The 19,744-nt window shown below is 41.1% G+C and overlaps 1 long non-coding RNA gene across 1 annotated transcript in view, besides 2 other annotated features; it reads right to left on the bottom strand.

Moving 5' to 3' along the window:
- LOC112268416 (uncharacterized) overlaps positions 1-16,438 on the bottom strand; it is a 53,528-nt gene extending 37,090 nt beyond the window's left edge. Inside the window, exons 1-2 of the long non-coding RNA XR_002959388.2 lie at positions 16,343-16,438; positions 16,004-16,135 (exon numbers count right to left, since the gene is read on the bottom strand). This is a non-coding gene — a long non-coding RNA (uncharacterized LOC112268416). The remainder of the gene's footprint in view (positions 1-16,003; positions 16,136-16,342) is intronic.
- Positions 2,496-3,272: an enhancer, noted in NCBI's record as "H3K27ac-H3K4me1 hESC enhancer chr2:56064459-56065235 (GRCh37/hg19 assembly coordinates)". NCBI's record gives its function as "activates a minimal SCP1, AML or CMV promoter by ChIP-STARR-seq in naive H9 embryonic stem cells {active_cell/tissue: H9 hESC(naive)}" and the evidence as "EXISTENCE:reporter gene assay evidence [ECO:0000049][PMID:30033119]".
- Positions 3,273-4,049: an enhancer, noted in NCBI's record as "H3K27ac-H3K4me1 hESC enhancer chr2:56063682-56064458 (GRCh37/hg19 assembly coordinates)". NCBI's record gives its function as "activates a minimal SCP1, AML or CMV promoter by ChIP-STARR-seq in naive H9 embryonic stem cells {active_cell/tissue: H9 hESC(naive)}" and the evidence as "EXISTENCE:reporter gene assay evidence [ECO:0000049][PMID:30033119]".
- Positions 16,439-19,744: the final 3,306 nt, after the last annotated feature.

The following is a 19,744-nucleotide window of genomic DNA, read 5'->3' as shown; positions in this document are numbered from 1 at the left end:
AGATGAAGCAAGTGGACAACAGCATCAAATATTACTCAGGCCAAATAGAATAAGGACTAAAAAGAGTGTCCACTGATTAGAAAAGCCACTGTGCCTTTGCTCAAACTATACCCTTGGTTTGGGATGTCCTTTCCCACAACCAGAAACCAAAGAAACATTTTCCATCTTTCAAGGATCTGCTCAAGTTACCTCACATTTGCATATGGCAGTTTAGTGAACATCATCACGTTACCTCATTTACTGACAGTAAGATCTTGAGGGTTAAGACCATCTCTTATGCATCTTGGCATCCCCTTCAGCTCATTAAAATGTAGATGCTGTAGGTTCAGAAAAGGAGCCAAATGTGCAGGAAAAGGTTCATCAAAGAACAGAATCTAAGGGTTGGAAGAGCTGATCCACAGGGCAGAACCATTGCCTGTCCCTGCCAGCAAGAGGGTACACATAGGACAAGCCGCTGCCCATGTGGGAAGAGTGATGAAGAAATTTCCTTTACTGTTTAGAAAGGAACTCTAAATAGTCTTTATCCTTATATGCAAACTTAGTAAATGAAATGGTAAACAAGACTTTCCTGGCTTTTCATTGTGACATTAATTTTGTGGACCAGTTTAGTGCTAGATCTGGAACAAAATACCCACATCTTCCAAAGCCTGGCTGACATCACTTACCCAAAAGGGAGGCCATGAATAGCCACTGATAGCAGGCATTCATCTTCTGAGTTTTTTGTTTTGTTTTGTTTTTTTCTGGAGCGTAAACATCTAAAAAGGAAAGGCTTTTTGAACTAGGTGCAACTGCCAACTTCATTTACCCCCTCATATTTAATGAGCCTATTTTGCTTTATGAGTACTTCAAAAGAGCTGACAGAGAGGAGGAGGCTATGAATAGAAAACATGAAGCAACTTGCTGAGCCCTCATTGTGAGGTCGACAGCTTGCTTTGTCATACCCTTGCAGACCTACGTTTTCATGATTCCTTTTTCAAACACTTATCGAAATCCAAAGCAGAAGAGAATTCTTGATCTCCTCCAAAGTGTCAACATGAAAGACAATATTTTAAGGCAGCCTGAGGGAGATGTGGTCACCAACACAGTAACAACAATCAAGGTGGTAGTAATGCGGTACATTTTTTTGGAGGCATTAAGCCCAGTCCTCCAAAATTTGCTGCACAGCTGCAGGGATAGGAAATATTCTGCCCTTCCCCCATTCCTGCCTAAGCAACATTCCTGTTGAGTTGTCAAGAGGCCCTGGCATTTAGAACATTGGCAAATATTTACTCAACACCAGTAGAGTACTTTAAATACGGCGAGTCCTCAATGGTGGAGACACTCGACACCACTAACAAATAACCCTTTGAGCAGTAGCTTTTTATAAATGTAGGGAGGACAGAGTAGAGGAGATAAAAATTAATAAGGGTAGGAATTCCCAGCAGCTTCAATCTGGAATATGATGCCTAAAGGAATTTCAAGTTAGTAAGTTTGTAAATATCTATTAACACTAAGTACTGCAGGATTCTGGGTGGTCGCCTCTTTTCACCACCTCATTTTGCCATTTTGGCACTGCTTTCATATTAATGTTGTGTATAATATTGCACACTTCAATTCTGGGTGTCTTTACCCCTTATATTGTGGTTTCCACTGACAACCAGAGCAGGTTAAAAACAAATGATACACTTCACACTGATCTATCCCACAATTGCTCAAGGATGAATAGCATCATAAAAGTGGAACAAGCTGTATAAGGAGAGCACTTCAGGCAGGAGAAAGAGTCAGCTAAATCTGACACCCAGGAAGGAAATTAGGATTTAGTCCAATGCCAGCATTTTACATCATTTTTTTTTAACTTAACAAGCTGAGACATGAGTTTTACCAAGATCACATAATTATAAGCGTCTTCTCAGAATTAGTTTTACTCTCTGTGTTTCCTCTGTTTTTAATACCTATAATATTAGAACTCGATCGCAATATAACTGCATGCTACACTTTACAATCTTGTTTAAAAAAACATTTATTTTAGGTTCAGAGGTACATAGGCAGGTTTGTTATATAGGTAAATTATGTGTCACCAGGGTTTGGTATACAGATTATTTCATTATCCAGGTAATAAGCATAGTGCCAAATAGGTAGTTTTTTTTAATCCTCTCCCTCCTTCCACCCTCCCTCCTCAAGTAGGCCCCAGTTTCTGTAACGTGCAGTATTTGATATTCTGTTTCTGCATTAGTTTGCTTAGGATAATAGCCCCCAGCTCCATCCATGTTGCTGCAAAGACATGATCTCATTCTTTTTTATGGCTGCATAGTATTCCATGGTGTACCACATTTTCTTTATCCAGTCTATCATTTGATGGGCATTTAGGTTGATTTCATGGCCTTGCTATTGTAAATAGTGCTGCCATGAACATATGTGTGCATGTGTCTTTATGGTAGAATAATTTACATTCCTTTGGGTATATACCCAATAATGGGATTGCTGGGATGAATGGTAATTCTATTTTAAGTTCTTTGAAAAATCACCACACTGTTTTCCACAATGGCTGAACTACTTTACATTTCCACCAGCAGTGTATAAGCATTCTTTCTCTGCCATCTCCCTACCATATTATTTTTTTACTTTTTAATAGTAGCCATTCTAGGCCAGGCATGGTAGCTCACGCCTTTAATCCCAACACTTTGGAAGGCTGAAGTGGGTGGATCGCTTGAGCCCAGGAGTTCAAGAGCAGCCTGGGCAACATGGCCAAACCCAGCTTCTATAAGAAATACTAAAATTACCCAGGTGTGGTGGGCATGCACCTGTAGTCCCAGCTACTTGGGAGACTGAGGTGAGAGGATTACTTGAGTCCAGGAGGAGGAGGTTGCAGTGAGCCAAGATTGTACCGCTGGAGTGCAGTGGTACAATAAAAAACAATAATAATAATAGCCGGGTCCATTCCAAGATGGCCAAATAGGAACAGCTCTGGTCTGCAGCTGCCAGCGTGATCGATGCAGAAGATAGGTGATTTCTGCATTTCCAACTGAGGTACCTGGTTCATCTCATTGGAGTTGTTTTGACAGTGGGTGCAGCCCACAGAGGGCAAGGCAAAGCAGGGCAGGGTGTTGCCTCACCCAGGAAGTGCAAGGGGTTGGGGGGATTTCTCTTTCCTAGCCAAGGGAAGCTGTGACAGACAGTACCTGGAAAAAAGGGACACTCCCACCCAAATATTACGCTTTTCCCATGGTCTTAGCAACTGGCAGAGCAGGAGATTCTCTCCCGTGCCTAGTTTGGTGGGTCCCACACCCACAGAGCCTTGCTCACTGCTAGTGCAGCAGTCTAAGATTGACCTGCGAGGCTGCAGCCTGGCGGGGGGAGGGGCGTCTGCCATTGCTGAGGCTTGAGTAGGTAAACAAAGTAGCCGGAAAGCTCAAACTGGGAGGAGCCCACCACAGCTCAGCAAGGCCTACTCCTCTATAGACTCCACCTCTATGGGCAGGACGTAACTGAACAAAAGGCAGCAGAAACTTCCGCAGACTTAAACGACCCTGTCTGACAGCTCTGAACAGAGCAGTGGTCTCCCAGCATGCTGTTTGAGCTCTCAGAATGGACAGACTGCCTCGTCAAGTGGGTCCCTGAACCCCTTGTAGCCTAACTGGGAGACACCTCCCAGTAGGGGAGGACAAACACCTCATAAAGGTGGGTGCCCCTCTGGGACAAAGCTTCCAGAGGAAGGATCAGGCAGCAATATGTGCTGTTCTGCAATACTTGCTGTTCTGCAGCCTCTGCTGGTGATACCCAGGAAAACAGGGTCTGGAGTGGACCTCCAGCAAATTCCAACAGACCTGCAGCTGAGGGACCTGACTGTTAGAAGGAAAACTAACAAACAGAAAGGAATAGCATCAACATCAACCAAAAGGACATAACACACCAAAAACCCATCTGTAGGTCGCCAACATCAAAGACTAAAGTTAGATAAAACCACAAGGATGGGGAGAAACCAGAGCAGAAAAGCTGAAAATTGTAAAAACTAGAGCACCTCTTCTCCTCCAAAGGATCACAGCTCCTCGCCAGCAATGGAACAAAGCTGGACGGAGAATGATGTTGAGGAGTTGACAGAAGTAGGCTTCAGAAGGTCGGTAATAACAAACTTCTCCAAGCTAAAGGAGCATGTTCTAACCCATCACAAGGAAGCTAAAAACCTTGAAAAAAGTTACACAAATGGCAAACTACAATAAATTGTATAGAGAAGACCTTAAATGGCCTGATGGAGCTGAAAACCATGGCATGAGAACTTCATGATGCATGCACAAGCTTCAATAGCCAATTTGATCAAATGAAAGAAAGGATATCAGTGATTGAAGATCAAATTAATGAAATAAAGCAGGAAGACAAGACTAGAGAAAAAAGAGTAATAAAAATGAACAATGCCTCCAAGAAATATGGGACTATGTGAAAAGACCAAATCTACATTTGATTGGTGTACCAGAAAGTGACGGGGATAATGGAACCAAGTTGGAAAACACTCTTCAGGATATTATCCAGGAGAACTTCCCCAGCCTAGCAAGGCAGGCCAACATTCAAATTTGGGAAACACAGAGAACACCATAAAGATACTCCTTGACAAGAGCAACCTCAAGACACATAATTGTCAGATTCACCAAGGTTGAAATGAGGAAAAAATGTTAAGGGCAGCCAGAGACAAAGGTCGGGTTACCCACAAAGGGAAGCCCATTAGACTAACAGCAGATCTCTCAGCAGAAACCCTACAAGCCAGAAGAGAGTGGGGGCCAATATTCAACATTCTTAAAGAAAAGAATTTTCAACCCAGAATTTCATATCCAGCCAAACTAAGCTTCATAAGTGAAGGAGAAATAAAATACTTTACAGACAAGCAAATACTGAGAGATTTTGTCACCACCAGGCCTGCCCTAAAAGAGCTCCTGAAGGGAGCACTAAACACGGAAAGGAACAACCAGTACTGGCCACTGCAAAAACATGCCAAATTGTAAAGACCATCGACGCTAGGAAGAAACTGCATCAACTAACGAGCAAAATAACCAGCTAACATCATAATGACAGGATCAAATTCACATATAACAATATTAACCTTAAATGTAAATGGGCTAAACGTCCCAATTAAAAGACACAGACTGGCAAATTGGATAGAGTCAAGACCCATCAGTGTGCTGTATTCAGGAGACCCATCTCATGTGCAGAGACACACATAGGCTGAAAATAAAGGGATGGAGGAAGATCTAACAAGCAAATGGAATATAAAAAAAGCAGAGGTTGCAATCCTAGTCTCTGATAAAACGGACTTTAAACCAACAACGATCAAAAGAGACAAAGAAGGCCATTGCATAATGGTAAAGGGATCAATTCAACAAGAAGAGCTAACTATCCTAAATATATATGCAGTCAATACAGGAGCACCCAGATTCATAAAGCAAGTCCTTAGAGACCTACAAAGAGACTTAGAATCCCACACAATAATAATGGGAGACTTTAACACCTCACTGTCAATATTAGACAGATCAATGAGACAGAAGGTTAACAAGGATATCCAGGACTTGAACTCAGCTCTGCACCAAGTGGACCTAATAGACATCTACAGAACTCTCCACCCAAAATCAACAGAATATACATTCTTCTCAGCACCACATAGCACTTATTCTAAAATTGACCACATAATTGGAAGTAAAGCACTCCTTTGCAAATGTAAAAGAACAGAAATCACAACACACTGTCTCTCAGACCACAGTGCAATCCAATTAGAACTCAGGATTAAGAAACTCACTCAAAACCACACAACTACATGGAAACTGAACAACCAGCTCCTGAATGACTACTGGGTAAATAACGAAATGAAGGCAGAAATAAAGATGTTGTTTGAAACCAATGAGAACAAACACACAACATACCAGAATCTCTGGGACAAATTAAAAGCAATGTGTAGAGGGAAATTTACAGCACTAAATGCCCATAAGAGAAAGCAGGAAAGATCTAAAATCGACACCCTAACATCACAATTAAAAGAACTAGAGAAGCAACAGCAGAAAAATTCAAAAGCTAGCAGAAGGCAAGAAATAACTAAGATCAGAGCAGAACTGAAGGAGATAGAGACACAAAAAACCTTCAAAAAATCAATGAATCCAGGAGCTGGTTTTTTGAAATGATCAACAAAATTGATAGACCACTAGCAAGACTAATAAAGAAGAAAAGAGAGAAGAATCAAATAGATACAATAAAAAATGATAAAGGGGATATCACCACCAATCCCATAGAATTACAAACTACCATCAGAGAATATTTTGAACACCTCTATGCAAATAAATTAGAAAATCTAGAAGAAATGTATAAATTCCAGTACACATACACCCTCCCAAGACTAAACCAGGAAAAAGTTCAATCTCTGAATAGACCAATAACAGGCTCTGAAATTGAGGCAATAATTAATAGCCTACCAAACAAAAAGAGTCCAGGACCAGTTGGATTCAAAGCAAAATTCTACCAGAGGTACAAAGAGGAGCTGGTACCATTCCTTCTGAAACTATTCCAATCAATAGAAAAAGAGGGAATCCTCCCTAACTCATTTTATGAGGCCAGCATCATCCTGCTACCAAAGCCTAGCAGAGACACAATAAAAAAAGAGAATTTTTACCAGTATCCCTGATGAACATCAATGCAACAATCATCAATAAAATATTGGCAAACCAAATCCAGCAGCACATCAAAAAGCTTATCCACCATGATCAAGTGGGCTTCATACCTGGGATGCAAGGCTGGTTCAACATATGCAAATCAATAAAGGTAATCCATCACATAAACAGAACCAATGACAATAACCACATGATTATCTCAATAGATGCAGAAAAGGCCTTTGACAAAATTCAACAGCGCTTCATACTAAAAACTCTCAATAAATTAGGTATTGATGGAATGTATCTCAAAATAATAAGAACTATTTATGACAAACCCACAGCCAATATCATACTGAATGAGCAAAAACTGGAAGCATTACCTTTGAAAACCGGCACGAGACAGGGATGCCCTCTCTCACCACTCCTATTCAACATAGTGTTGGAAGTTCTGGCCAGGGCAATTAGGCAGGAGAAAGAAATAAAGGGTATTCAATTAGGAAAAGAGGAAGTCAAATTGCCCTGTTTGCAGATGACATTATTGTATATTTAGGAAACCCCATCGTCTCAGCCCAAAATCTCTTTAAGCTGTTAAGCAACTTCAGCAAAGTCTCAGGATACAAAATCAATGTACAAAAATCACAAGCATTCCTCTACACCAATAACAGACAAACAGCCAAATCATGAGTGAACTCCCATTCACAAATGCTACAAAGAGAATAAAATGCCTAGGAATCCAACTTACAAGGGATGTGAAGGACCTCTTCAAGGAGAACTACAAACCACTGCTCAATGAAATAAAAGAGGATACAAACAAATGGAAGAACATTCCATGCTTACGGATAGGAAGAATCAATATTGTGAAAATGGCCATACTGCTCAAGGTGATTTATAGATTCAATGCCATCCCCATCAAGCTACCAATGACTTTCTTCACGAATTGGAAAAATCTACTTTAAAGTTAATATGAAATCAAAAAAGAGCCTGCATAGCCAAGACAATCCTAAACAAAAAGAACAAAGATGGAGGCAATCATGCTACCTGACTTCAAACTATACTACAAGGCTACAGTAACCAAAACAGCATGGTACTGATACCAAAACAGAGATATAGAACAATGGAACACAACAGAGCCCTCAGAAATAATACCACACATCTACAACCATATGATCTTTGACAAACCTGACAAAAACAAGCAATAGGGAAAGGGTTCCCTATTTAATAAATAGTGCTGGGAAAACTGGCTAGCCATATGTAGAAAGCTGAAACTGGATCCCTTCCTTACACCTTATACAAAAATCAATTCAAGATGGATTAAAGACTTACATGTTAGACCTAAAACCATAAAAACCCTAGAAGAAAACCTAGGCAATACCGTTCAGGACACAGCCATGGGCAAGGACTTCATGACTAAAACACCAAAAGCAATGGCAACAAAAGCCAAAATTGACAAATGGGATCTAATTAAACTAAAGAGCTTCTGCACAGCAAAAGAAACTACCATCAGAGTGAACAGGCAACCTACAAAATGGGAGAAAATTTTTGCAATCTACCCATCTGACAAGGGCTAATATCCAGAATCTACAAAGAACTTAAACAAATTTACAAGAAAAAACAAACAACCCCATCAAAAAGTGGGCAAAGGATATGAACAGATACTTCTCAAAAGAAGACATTTATGCAGCCAACAGACATATGAAAAAATGCTCATCGTCTGTGGTCATCAGAGAAATGCAAATCAAAACCACAATGAGATACCATCTCATGCTAGTCAGAATGGCAATCATCAAAAAGTCAGGAAACAACAGGTGCTGGAGAGGATGTGGAGAAATAGGAACACTTTTACACTGTTGAGGGGAGTATAAATTAGTTCAGCTATTGTGGAAGACAGTGTGGCAATTCCTCAAGGATCTAGAACTAGAAATACCATTTGACCCAGCCATCCCATTACTTGGTATATAACCAAAGGATTATAAATCATGCTACTCTAAAGACACATGCACATGTATGTTTATTGCAGCACTATTCGCAATAGCAAAGACTTGGAACCAACCCAAATGTCCATCAATGATGGACTGGATTAAGAACATGTGGCACATATACACCATGGAATACTATGCAGCCATAAAAAAGGATGAGTTCATGTCCTTTGCAGGGACACAGATGAAGCTGGAAACCATCATTTTCAGCAAACTATCACAAGGACAGAAAACCAAACACTGCATGTTCTCACTCATAGGTGGGAATTAAACAATGAGAACACTTGGACACAGGGTGGGGAACATCACACCAGGGCCTGTCAGAGGATGGGGGTTGGGAGAAGGATAGCATTTGGAGAAATACCTAATGTAAATGACGAGTTGATGGGTGCAGGAAACCAATATGGCACATGTATACCTATGTAATAAACCTGCACTTCGTGCACATGTACCCTAGAATTTAAAGTATAATAATTTAAAAATAATAATAATAATGGCCATTCTGACTGGTATGAGATGGTATCTCATCGTGGTTTTGATTTGCAATTCTCTAATGATTTATAATGTTGAGTATGTTTCCATATGCCTGTTGGCTGCGTGCATGTCTTCTTTTGAAAAGTATCTGTTCACGTCCTTTGCCCACTTTTTAATGAAGCTCTTTGTTTTTGCCTGTTAAGTTCCTTATAAATGCTTGTTACTAGATCATTGTCAGATGCCTAGTTTGCAAATATTTTCTCCCATTCTGTAGGCTGTCTGTTTGCTCTGTTGATAGTTTCTTTTGCTGTGCAGAAGCTCTTTGATTTAATTAAGTCTCGTTTGTCCATTTTTGTTTTGTTGCTATTGCTTTTGCCATCTTCATCATGAAATCTTTGCCAGGGCCTATGTCCAGAATAGTATTTCCTACATTATCTTCCAGGGTTCTTATACTTTTAGGTTTTACATTTAAGTCTTTAATCCATCTTGAATTGATTTTTGTATATGGTGTAAGGACAGTGGCTAGTTTCAATTTTCTGCATATGATTAGCCAGTAATCCCAACACCATTTATTGAAGGAGTCCTGTCCCCAGTGCTTGTTTTTGTCAACTTTGTCAAAGATCAGATGGTTGTAGGACTGCGACATTATTTCTGGACTTTCTATGTTGTTACATTGGTCTATGTGTCTGTTTTTGTACCAGTATCATGCAGCTTTGGTTACTGTAGCCTTTATTGTTTGGAGTCAGGTAACAAGGTAACATAATGCCTCCAGCTTTGTTCTTTTTCTTTAGGATTGCTCTGCCTATTCCGGCTCTTTTGTGGTTCTCTATGAATTTTAAAATTTTTTTTGTAATTCTGTGAGGAATATCATTGGTAGTTTGATAGGAATAGCATTGAATCTGTAAATTGTTTTGGGTAGTATGGCCATTTTAACAAAATGGATTCTTCCTATCCATGAGTATAGAATGTTTCCCCATTTGTTTGTGTCATCTCTGATTTCTTTGAGCAGTTTTTCATAATTCTCATTGTAGAGATCTTGTACCTCCCTGGTTAGCTATATTCCTATGTATTTTATTCTTCTTGTGGTTATTGTGAATGGGACTGCATTCTTGATTTGGCTCTCAGCTTAGATGTTGTTGGTGTATAGAAATGCTACTGACTTTTGTACATTAATTTTGTATCCTGAAACTTTGCTGAAGTTGTTTATGGGATCTAGGAGTTTTGGGGCAGAGATTTTGGGGGTTTCTAGGTAAGAATAATGTCATCTGCAAGGAAATTGGCCTGAAGTTTTATTGTTCATTGTCGTGTCTCTGCCAGGTTTTGGTATAAGGGTGATGCTGGACTCATAGAATGAGCTGGGGAGGAGTCTCTTCTCCTCAATTTTTTGAAATAGTTTCAGTAGGAACAGTACCAGCTCTTCTTTAGACATCTGGTAGAATTCAGCTGTGAATCCATCTGGCCCTGGGCTTTTTCTGGTTGGTAGGCTTTTTATTACTGATTCTATTTCAGAACTCATTACTGGTCTGTTCAGGGATTCAATTTCTTCCTTGTTCAATCTTGGGAGGTTATATGTTTCCAGGAATTTATCCATTTCTTCTAGGTTTCTTCCAGTTTGTGTTCATAGAAGTGTTCATAGTAGTCTCTGAGAGTTCTTTGTACTTCTGTGGGGTCAGTGGTAAAGTCCCCTTTGTCATTTCTGATTATGTTTACTTGGATCTTCTCATTTTTTTCCTTTATTCATCTAGCCAGCAGGTTATCAATCTTATTTATTCCTTCAATGAACAAACTACTGCATTTGCTTATCTTTTGTATGGTTTTTCATTTCTCAATTTCTGTCAGTTCAGCTCTAATTTTGATTATTTCTTGTCTTCTGCTAGTTTTGGGGTTAGTTTGCTCTTGTTTCTCTAGTTCCTCTAGATGTGATGTTAGGTTGTTACTTTGAGATCTTTCTTTTTTAAGTGAGCCTTTAGCACTATAAACTTGCCTCCTAATACTCCCTTAGCTGTGTCCCAGAGATTCTGGTATGTAATATCTTTGTTCTCATTAGTTTCAAAGAATTTCTTGATTTCTGCCTTAACTTCATTTTTTACCCAAAAGTCATTCAGGAGCAGGTTGTTTAATTTTTCATATACTTGTATAGTTTTGAGTGATTTCTTAGTGTTGATTTACATTTTAATTGTTCCACGATCTGAGAATGTATTTCATATTTCAGTTTTTTTGAATTTGCTGAGGACTGTTTTATGGCCAATTGTGTGGTTAATTTTAGAGTATGTGCCATGTGCACATGAGAAGAAGAATGTATAGTCTGTTGTTTTTGGGTGAAGACTTCTGTAGATAATTGTTAGGCCCATTTGGTCAAGTGTCAAGGTCAGGTCCCAAATATCTTCATTAGTTTTCTGCTTCAATGATCTGTCTAATACTGTCGTGGGGTGTTGAATTCTCCCACTATTATTGTGTGGTTATCTAAGTCTCTTTCTAGGTCTCTAAAAATTTGCTTCATGAATCTGGGTGCTCCTGTATAGGGGGAAAATATATTTAGGATAGTTACATCTTCTTGTTCAATTGAACATTTTACCACTATATAATACTCTTCTTTGTCTTTTCAAATCATTATTGGCTTAAAGTCTGATTTGTCTGAAATTAGAATAAGCAACCTGATTTTTTGTTTCCCATTTGCTTGATAGATTTTTCTCCATCCCTTTACTTTGAGCCTATGGGTGTCATTGCATGTGAAATGGGTCTCTTGAAGACATCATACAGCCAGGTCTTGCTTCTTTATCCAACTTGCAACTCTGTGCCTTTTAATTGGAGTACTTAGCCTGTTTACATTAAAAGTTAATATTGATATGTGCAGATTCAATCCTGTCATCATGTCATTAGCTGGTTATTATGCAGACTTGATTGTGTGGTTGCTTTATAGTGTTAATGGTCTATATACTTAAGTGTGTTTTTGTGGTGGCTGGTAATAGTCTCTTGTTTCCATATTTAGCATTCCCTTAAGTACCTTTTGTAAGGCAGGCAGGTCTGGTGGTAACGAATTCCCTTAGCATTTGGTTTTCTGAAAAGGACCTTATTTTTTCTTCACTTATGAAGCTTAGTTTGACTAGATGTGAAATTCTTGGTTGAAGTTTCTTTTCTTTAAGAATGTTGAATACAGGCCCACAATCTCTTCTGGCTTATAGAGTTTCTAGTGAAAATTCTACTGTTATCTTAATGGGTTTCCCTTTGTATTAATAGGTGACATGCCCTGTCTTTCTAGCTGCTTTTAATATTTTTTCTTTCATGTCAACCTTAGAGAATCTGATTATATGTCTTGGGAATGATCATCTTGTATAATATCTCACAGGGGTTCTCTGCATCTCCTGAATTTAAATGTTGGTCTAACAAGGTTGAAAAAATGTTTGTAAATAATATCCTCAAATATGTTTTCAGAGTTGCATATTTTTTCTCCCTCTCTTTCAGGGACACCAATGAGTCATAAGTTTGAAATGGTCATTGCAAAATTATAACTGAGACAGTGAAAGAGATTTGACCTAACCGAATCCATCTTGCCTCTAACCTCCAAGCTGTCCTTGTTCATTTCTAGGCATAGGCCAAACTAACTTTGAGAGGAACTTAGTTTATAGTTCAGCTTTGAAACAAAGATGATAAAGCTCTTTCCCCAAACAAACCCCCTTCCTACCTGGGGAATAGACTGTCTTTGTAGGACTAACAAATAAGCCACATGATTAGAAATTATGGTTTAGGAGTCATGCAGCTGGAGGCTGCAAGATTCTAAACCTCCCCAAATTGCTCCTGGGGATAACACCACTATTATAAAACCTAAGATCAGTGCTTGAGATATTTTGCAGACCCTGTACTAGATGGATCAGCTGGCTCCACCTAGATCAATAAACTGGACCATCTGGTCTGACTCAGGAACTGACTCAGCACTAGAGGACAGCTTTACCTCCCTATGATTTCATCTCCAACCTGACCAATCAGAACTCCTGATTCACTGGCCCCACCCCCACCCACCAAATTATCCTTAAAAACTCCAATCCCCAAATTCTCAGGGAGACTGATTTGAGTAATAATAAAGCTCTGGTCTCCCGCACAGCCGGCTCTGCATGAATGACTCTTTATTGCAATTCCCTTGTCTTGATAAATCAGCTGTTTAGGCAGCAGACAAGGTGAAACTGTTGGGTGATTACAGGTTGGGTCTCTTCACATAATCTCATATTTCTTGGAGGTTTTGTTCATTTTTTTTTACTCTTTTTTCTTTATTTCTGTCTGACTGAGTTAAATTGAAGACCCAGTCTGAGTGCTGAGATTCTTTCCTCAGCTTGGTCTATTCTGCTATAAATACTTGTGATTGCATTATGAAATTCTTGTAGTGTGTTTCTCACCTCTATCAGATCAGTTCTTTCTTATAATGGCCATTTTGTCTTTCAGCTCCTGTATCATTTTATTGTAATCCTTACATTCCTTGGATTGAGTTTTGACTTTCCCCTGAATTTCAATGATCTTCATTCCTATCCATATTCTGAATTCTATGTCCGTCATTCTAGCCATTTCAACCTGGTTAAGAACCCTTGCTAGGGAACCAGTGCAGTCATTTGAAGGAAAAAAGACACTCTAGGCTTGAGTTTCCAGAGTTCTTGCACTGATTCTTTCTCATCTGTGTGAGCTGATGTTCCTTAACTGTAGTGTAATTTGAAAATATAATCAGCTGACTTCATTTCTGAATGTTTTCAGCATGCCAAAGTTTTGTGCAGGGTCTTTATTTTTAGCTGAATTCTTGTCCTTGGTTTCATGAGGGGTTGTATTAGCAAAGTATTTTTGGTGTTGAACTTTAGACTGCGATCGGGTAGATGGCGGTTAACGTAATGGCCAGTAGGTAGGCTCTTGCTCAGTCACATGGCTCTTCTGCATCTCCTCATGTTTGCAGCTGTGCTTTCTCTCAGTGCTCTTAGAGTGCGGGCTCCTCTTCCCCTCAAGTGCTGGCTGCAGATCTTGGCTTGGCACTCCTGGGCTGCACACTGCAGCCCTCGAGCCAGCTCAGGTTTTACGTTCCCTCCCCAGCTTGGAGGCAGCGGGGGAAGGGACCTTGGCAGTGGTGTGGCAGAGGGCCTTTCACTTGTGTCTTGGGGTTCCATCCCAAAGAAATGCAGAGCCACTACCAATTGGTGCAATCAGTCCGGGGTGGGGCAGCCATGTTGTGGGCCCAAGCCTGGAGGCCCTCCCTGGTGATGAGCAGGAGGGTGCAGGCGGCTCATAAGGGAGGTGGACTGGCTTCTCCTTAGGGCAGCTGTAGCTTGCTGGAGGTGTAGGTAAAGCAGTTAGAGTCTTTGTTCCTTCCTCAGTCCAAGGGCAGCAGGAGCAGTACCACTGCAGTGGCAGTACCACTGCAGTGGCAGTGGCAGAGGGGCTTTCAGTTGCCTCTGGGAGCTCCACTTCAGAGAAATGCAGAGCTGCTGCCAATGGGAATGTTCAGTCAGGGGGTGGGGTGTCTGTGCAGCTGGCCCAAGGTAGGGGGCAACTGGTGAAGAGCAGGCAGTTGGGGGTTCACAGGGAGCGCAGACTGGGATCCCCTCCATATGGTGACTTTGACATGCTGGTGCCACAAGTAAATCCCTCAGGCCCTTTGTTCCTTCCTCAGTCCTAGGGCAGCAAGGGCAGAACCACTGCAGTGGCAATGGGGCTGTCGGGGCTGTCGGTTGCCTCAGGGAGCTCCACCCCAGGGAAACACAGAGCCACTACCAGTGGAAATGCTCAGCTGGGGGTGAGGTAGCTGCTCTGTGGTCCCGAGCTGGGGGGCCCTGCCTGGTGAAGGGTGGGAGATAGGGGCTCACAGAGAAGAGAGACTGGGCTCCTCTCTGTATGGTGGCTGCAGCATGCTGGAGGTTCCAGCGAGGCAACCAGGTCCTTTGTTTCTTCCCCAGCCTGAGGGCAATAAGGGCAATACCACTGCAGCTTCAGTGACCGAGGGACTGTGGATCATGTCTGGGATTTCCTCCCCAGAGAAACGCAGAGCTGCCACCAACGGAAGTGTTCAAGCAGGGGCAGGGTGGCTGTGCTGGGGTCCCAAGTCAAGAGATCCTGCGCAGTGAGGAGTAGCAGGGGCAGGGACCCGCATGGAAAACTGTCTGGCTCCTTTTCCGTAAGGCAGCTGCACTGTGCTGGAGCCCCGCGTGAGTCCCTAATCACTGCACTCCTCAGCCTGAGGGCAACAGGAGCAAGGGCTGTGGAGTAGCGAAAATGGCGACCCACCTGCTACTTCTGGGAGCTCCATCTCAGGGAAGTGCAGAACTGTTACCAGCCCAATGGTCCAAGCAAGGGGTGGCTGGGATTCCAGGTCAAGAGGCCCTGCCCAGTGAGAAGGCGCTGGGCTGGGGACCCATGTGGAAAACAATCTGGCCGCTTTACTGTAAGGCAGCTGTGCTGTACTGGGGGTCCCTGTGAGTGCGTAATCACGGTGCTCCCTCCAGAGCCTGAGGGCAACAGGAGGGACTGCTGTGGAGCAGCGAAAATGGCGGCCTGCCTGCTACCTCTGGGAGCTCCGTCCCAGGGAAGCGCAGAGCAGCTAGTGGCCTGAGAGATCAGCTGGCGCTGGGTGGCTACGCTAAGGTCCCAGGCCAGTGGACCTTGTCTGAGGAGGTGCAGTGCAGGTGAGCCCTGCAGTTTGTCCACTGCACAGCCCCGTGGGTGTGGTCTCTATCTTGGTGGTGTGGGAAGGAGCCTGACCTTCCCTGTTGCCGGAACTGCAGCCGCTGGTGTTGGGTTGCCCTGGGATCCAAGGCCACCAGCACTCTGCATGTGCCTGAGTGGCGGCTCCACCCAGACTCCACCTAGCTCTCCCTGTCAGTCTGCAGGCCCCGGTTGGGAGAGGTCATGGGTGTTCTCCTGAGCCCAGTGTTGCAAAAGTCCCCTGGCAGAAGTGTGGGTCCCCAGGCACTCTGACTCACTCACCATTTCCCCATGTTGGGGGCCTCTCCTGGCTCCGTACCACTCCTGGTGGGAGGCTCTCCTGTCTTACTCGTCTTTGTTCTCCGTGGGTTGTGTTGTTTCCTCGCTGAATCCCAGAGTGTCCACCTGGATGATCTAGTTAAAGAGCTAAATTAGCCAGGCGTGGTGGCGGGCGCCTGTAGTCCCAGCTACTCCGGAGGCCGAGGCAGGAGAGTGGCGTGAACCCGGGAGGCGGAGCTTGCAGTGAGCCGAGATTGCGCCACTGCACTCCAGTCTAGGCGACAGAGCGAGACTCCGTCTCAAAAACAAACAACAAAAAAAAAAGAGGTAGTGTCTACTTACCACTTTCTTCTGTTTGTGAGAGTGGCGCACACTAGCTGTTTCTAGTCAGCCTTTTTTTTTTTTTTTTTTTTTGACACGGTCTCGCTCTGTCGCAGAAGCTGGAGTGCAGTGGCGAGATCTCGAGTTACTGCAGCCTCAACCTCCCGAGCTCAAGTGATCCTCCCGCCTCAGCCTCGGGAGTAGCTAGGACGGCAGGCACGCAACACCAGGCCTGGCTTTTTTTTTTTTAATTTCTTGTAGAGATGGCGTTTCCTTTTGTTGCCCAGGCTACTCTCGAACTCCTGGGATCAAGCACTTGTCCCGTCGGTCCTCCTAAAGTGCTGCTGGGATTGGCACGAGCCACCGCCCCTGGCCTAGTCAGCCATCTTAAGTAGAGGGATCCACAATATATTTTCCATTTTCTAATCTTAATCACACCAAACACACACACAGCCCACAGCTGACTCAGAGGCCTTTAGGAAGAACATGGACATAAAGATTAAATAATTTAGGCAGGAAAGAACATTCTCAAGACACCAACTATATGTTAAAATGAATAGAAAGTTATTTGGATTAAGCCAGAGCATTCTCTCCTATAGCTAGCAGTAATAATAATAAGTAGAAATTTTTAGATGCATTATGACATCTAATCCTGACTAAAATCCTGTGAAGTAGGACTGTTATCCCCATTTTAGAAATGACGAAGCCAAAGCTTGAAGAGGTTAAGTAATTTCCCAAGGTCTTGGAGGTCCTGTAGCTGATAAATGAGAATGCAAGCATTTGGATCTAATCAGTCAGGCTCCAGTAGCTTCCTCTTCACTACTAGGCTGCACTGCCTAGGTTTAGGCTTAACATACACAAGTAAACAACATACATGAAAGTGATTTGCAAATCAGTTTCCCAGAACTTCAAAAAAGTTTCATTCTACATACAGAATTTGGAAATTTCCTTATTTTATAGTATGTCATAAAATTTCTGACCTAAAACAGTAGAATAATTTCGACTCACAATTCTCAAGCGGCCTTTTCTATTGATGTGCTGCATTTTATTTCAATTGCTAATTTTTATAACTAATTAATATGACTGCTCCCAGCTTAAGAACTAAAGCTCTGCACTTATTTTAACATTTTTCAAGAACTTGGATTTTTTTCTTTACAAGATTGCTTTTTTTTAACTAAACATTTAGCATCTGTATCTTTTGGTCATCATTCATAACTTGTTGTATTTCTCATAATTTATTAGTGGAAATCATGCTTAGTTTCAGAACAACTCATGCAGATTGGAAATGGGTTTACTTTCTGTTAAGAGTAAATGAAAGATTTTGATAGTGACCACTTATTTTATCAATGGGAAATTAACTATCACTCTAGGTGAGCCCTTTGAAATGGAATATGAATTTTTTTAACGGACAAAATAGGAAATGACTTCTTTGTCAAATACTTATCTTGTACTTTTAAGCTGATCAGAATCCTCCAAATTATGAATCACTGTCAAAATTTTTAAGTTCACTTTCAAAATAATTTAATTTAATTCAATGGAATTTATTAGATGACTATAATGTGACTAACTAGTAAATAGCAGTCCCAAACAAATATCTACATTATGTACAAGCAGAAATAAGAGAGTTACTTATTGATTAAATGTTAAAGATCAGCCAGTTTTTAGCTCTTCCTTTCCAGGTTGGCTATGGGTCCCGACTAGTTAATTTTTTACTAGTTTTCCAAATAAGATAAAATGAAAACTTGACTTAAAGAAAAAGAAGTAAACTAGGCATGCCAATTAGCAAAGTACTTGTGATGAACAGGACCTCATATTAGATGCTGATAAAATATACCTAAAAATTCAAAAATAGGTCCCAAATAATTTTACCACACTGTTTGAGTGTTGTCAATTTTACTCTGCATTTTTTATTGCCTTAAAATTGTATATAGCTGAAGTATACAACTTGATATTTTTATATACATTATGAAACAATCACCATAATCAAGCTAATTAACATATCCATTCCCTCATATAGTTACTTTGGTGTGTGTGTTGGGAGTGAGGGGCTGAAAAACATCTACTGTCTTGGAAGTTCAGGTGTATAATACAGTATTTTTAACTATAGTCACATTGCTGTGCATTAGATCTCCAGTACTTATTCATCTTGCAAAACTAAAACTTTATAACCTTCAATCAACATCTCTCCATTTCTCCCTCCCCCGATCCCCTGGCAACCACCATTCTACTCTGCTTCTGTGAGTTTGACTATTTTAGATATCAGATATAAATGAAACCATGCAGTATTTGCCTTTCTGTGTCCAGATTATTTCACTTAGCATAATGTCCTCCAGGTTACTCCATATTATTGTAAATGGCAGCTTTTCTTCTTTTCTAAGGCTCAAGAATATTCCATTGTATATAATATAGACCACATTTTATTTATCCATTCATCTCTCAGCGACATTTAAGTTGTTTCCATTTCTCTGCTATTGCGAATAATGCTGCAAAGAATATGGGAGTGCAAATATCTCTTCAAGATACTGATTTCAGTTCCTTTGGATTTATACCCAGAAGTGAAATGGCTGGATCATATGGTAATTCTATCTTTAATTTTTTTAAGGACCCTCCATACTATTTTTCATAATGGCTATGCCAATTTACATTCTCACCAATGGTGTACAAGGGCTCCCTTTTCTCCACGTCCTTGCCAACACTTGTTATACTTTGTCTTTTTGATAGTAGCCCCTCTAACAGGTGTGGGGTGTTACCATATGGTTTTGATTTGCATTTCCCTGATGACTAGTGATGTTGAGCATCTTTTTACATAGCCATTGGCCATTTTATTGTCTTCTCTTTGAGAAACATCTGTTCAAGTCCTTCCCATTTTTTAAATCAGGATGTTTGTTTTCTTGCTATTGATTTGTAAGAGTTATTCTTTATATATTTTGGAAATTAACCAGTTATCAGATATATAGTTTGCAAATATTTTCTCCTATGCTCTAGATTGTCTTTTCACTCTATTGGTTTTTTTCTTTGCTGTGAAGAAACTTTTAGTTTGATGCAATCCTACTTGTCTATTTTTACTTCTGTTGCTTGTGCTTTTGGTGTAATATCCAAAAAATCATTGCCCAGACCAATGTCAAGAAGCTTTTTCACTATGTTTCCTTGCAGTAGTTCTGTGGTTTCAGGTCTTACACTTAACTCACTAATCCATTTTCAGTTCATTTTGTATATGATATGAGATAAGGGTCCAATTTCATTCTTCTACCTGTGGATATCCAATTTTCCCAACACTGTTTATTAAAGATGTGATCCTTTCCCTATTGTGTGTTCTCGGCACCATTATTGAAGATCAGTTGACTATAATGTGTAGATTTAGTTCTGGTCCCTCCATTCTATTTCACTGGTCTATGTCTGTTTTTATGCCAGTACTATGCTGTT

This window comes from Homo sapiens, chromosome 2 (assembly GCF_000001405.40).
Source record: "Homo sapiens chromosome 2, GRCh38.p14 Primary Assembly".
Lineage (NCBI taxonomy): Eukaryota > Metazoa > Chordata > Mammalia > Primates > Hominidae > Homo > Homo sapiens.
The sequence above is the reverse complement of the archived record's forward strand: the minus strand, read 5'-3'. Positions and strand labels throughout refer to the sequence as shown.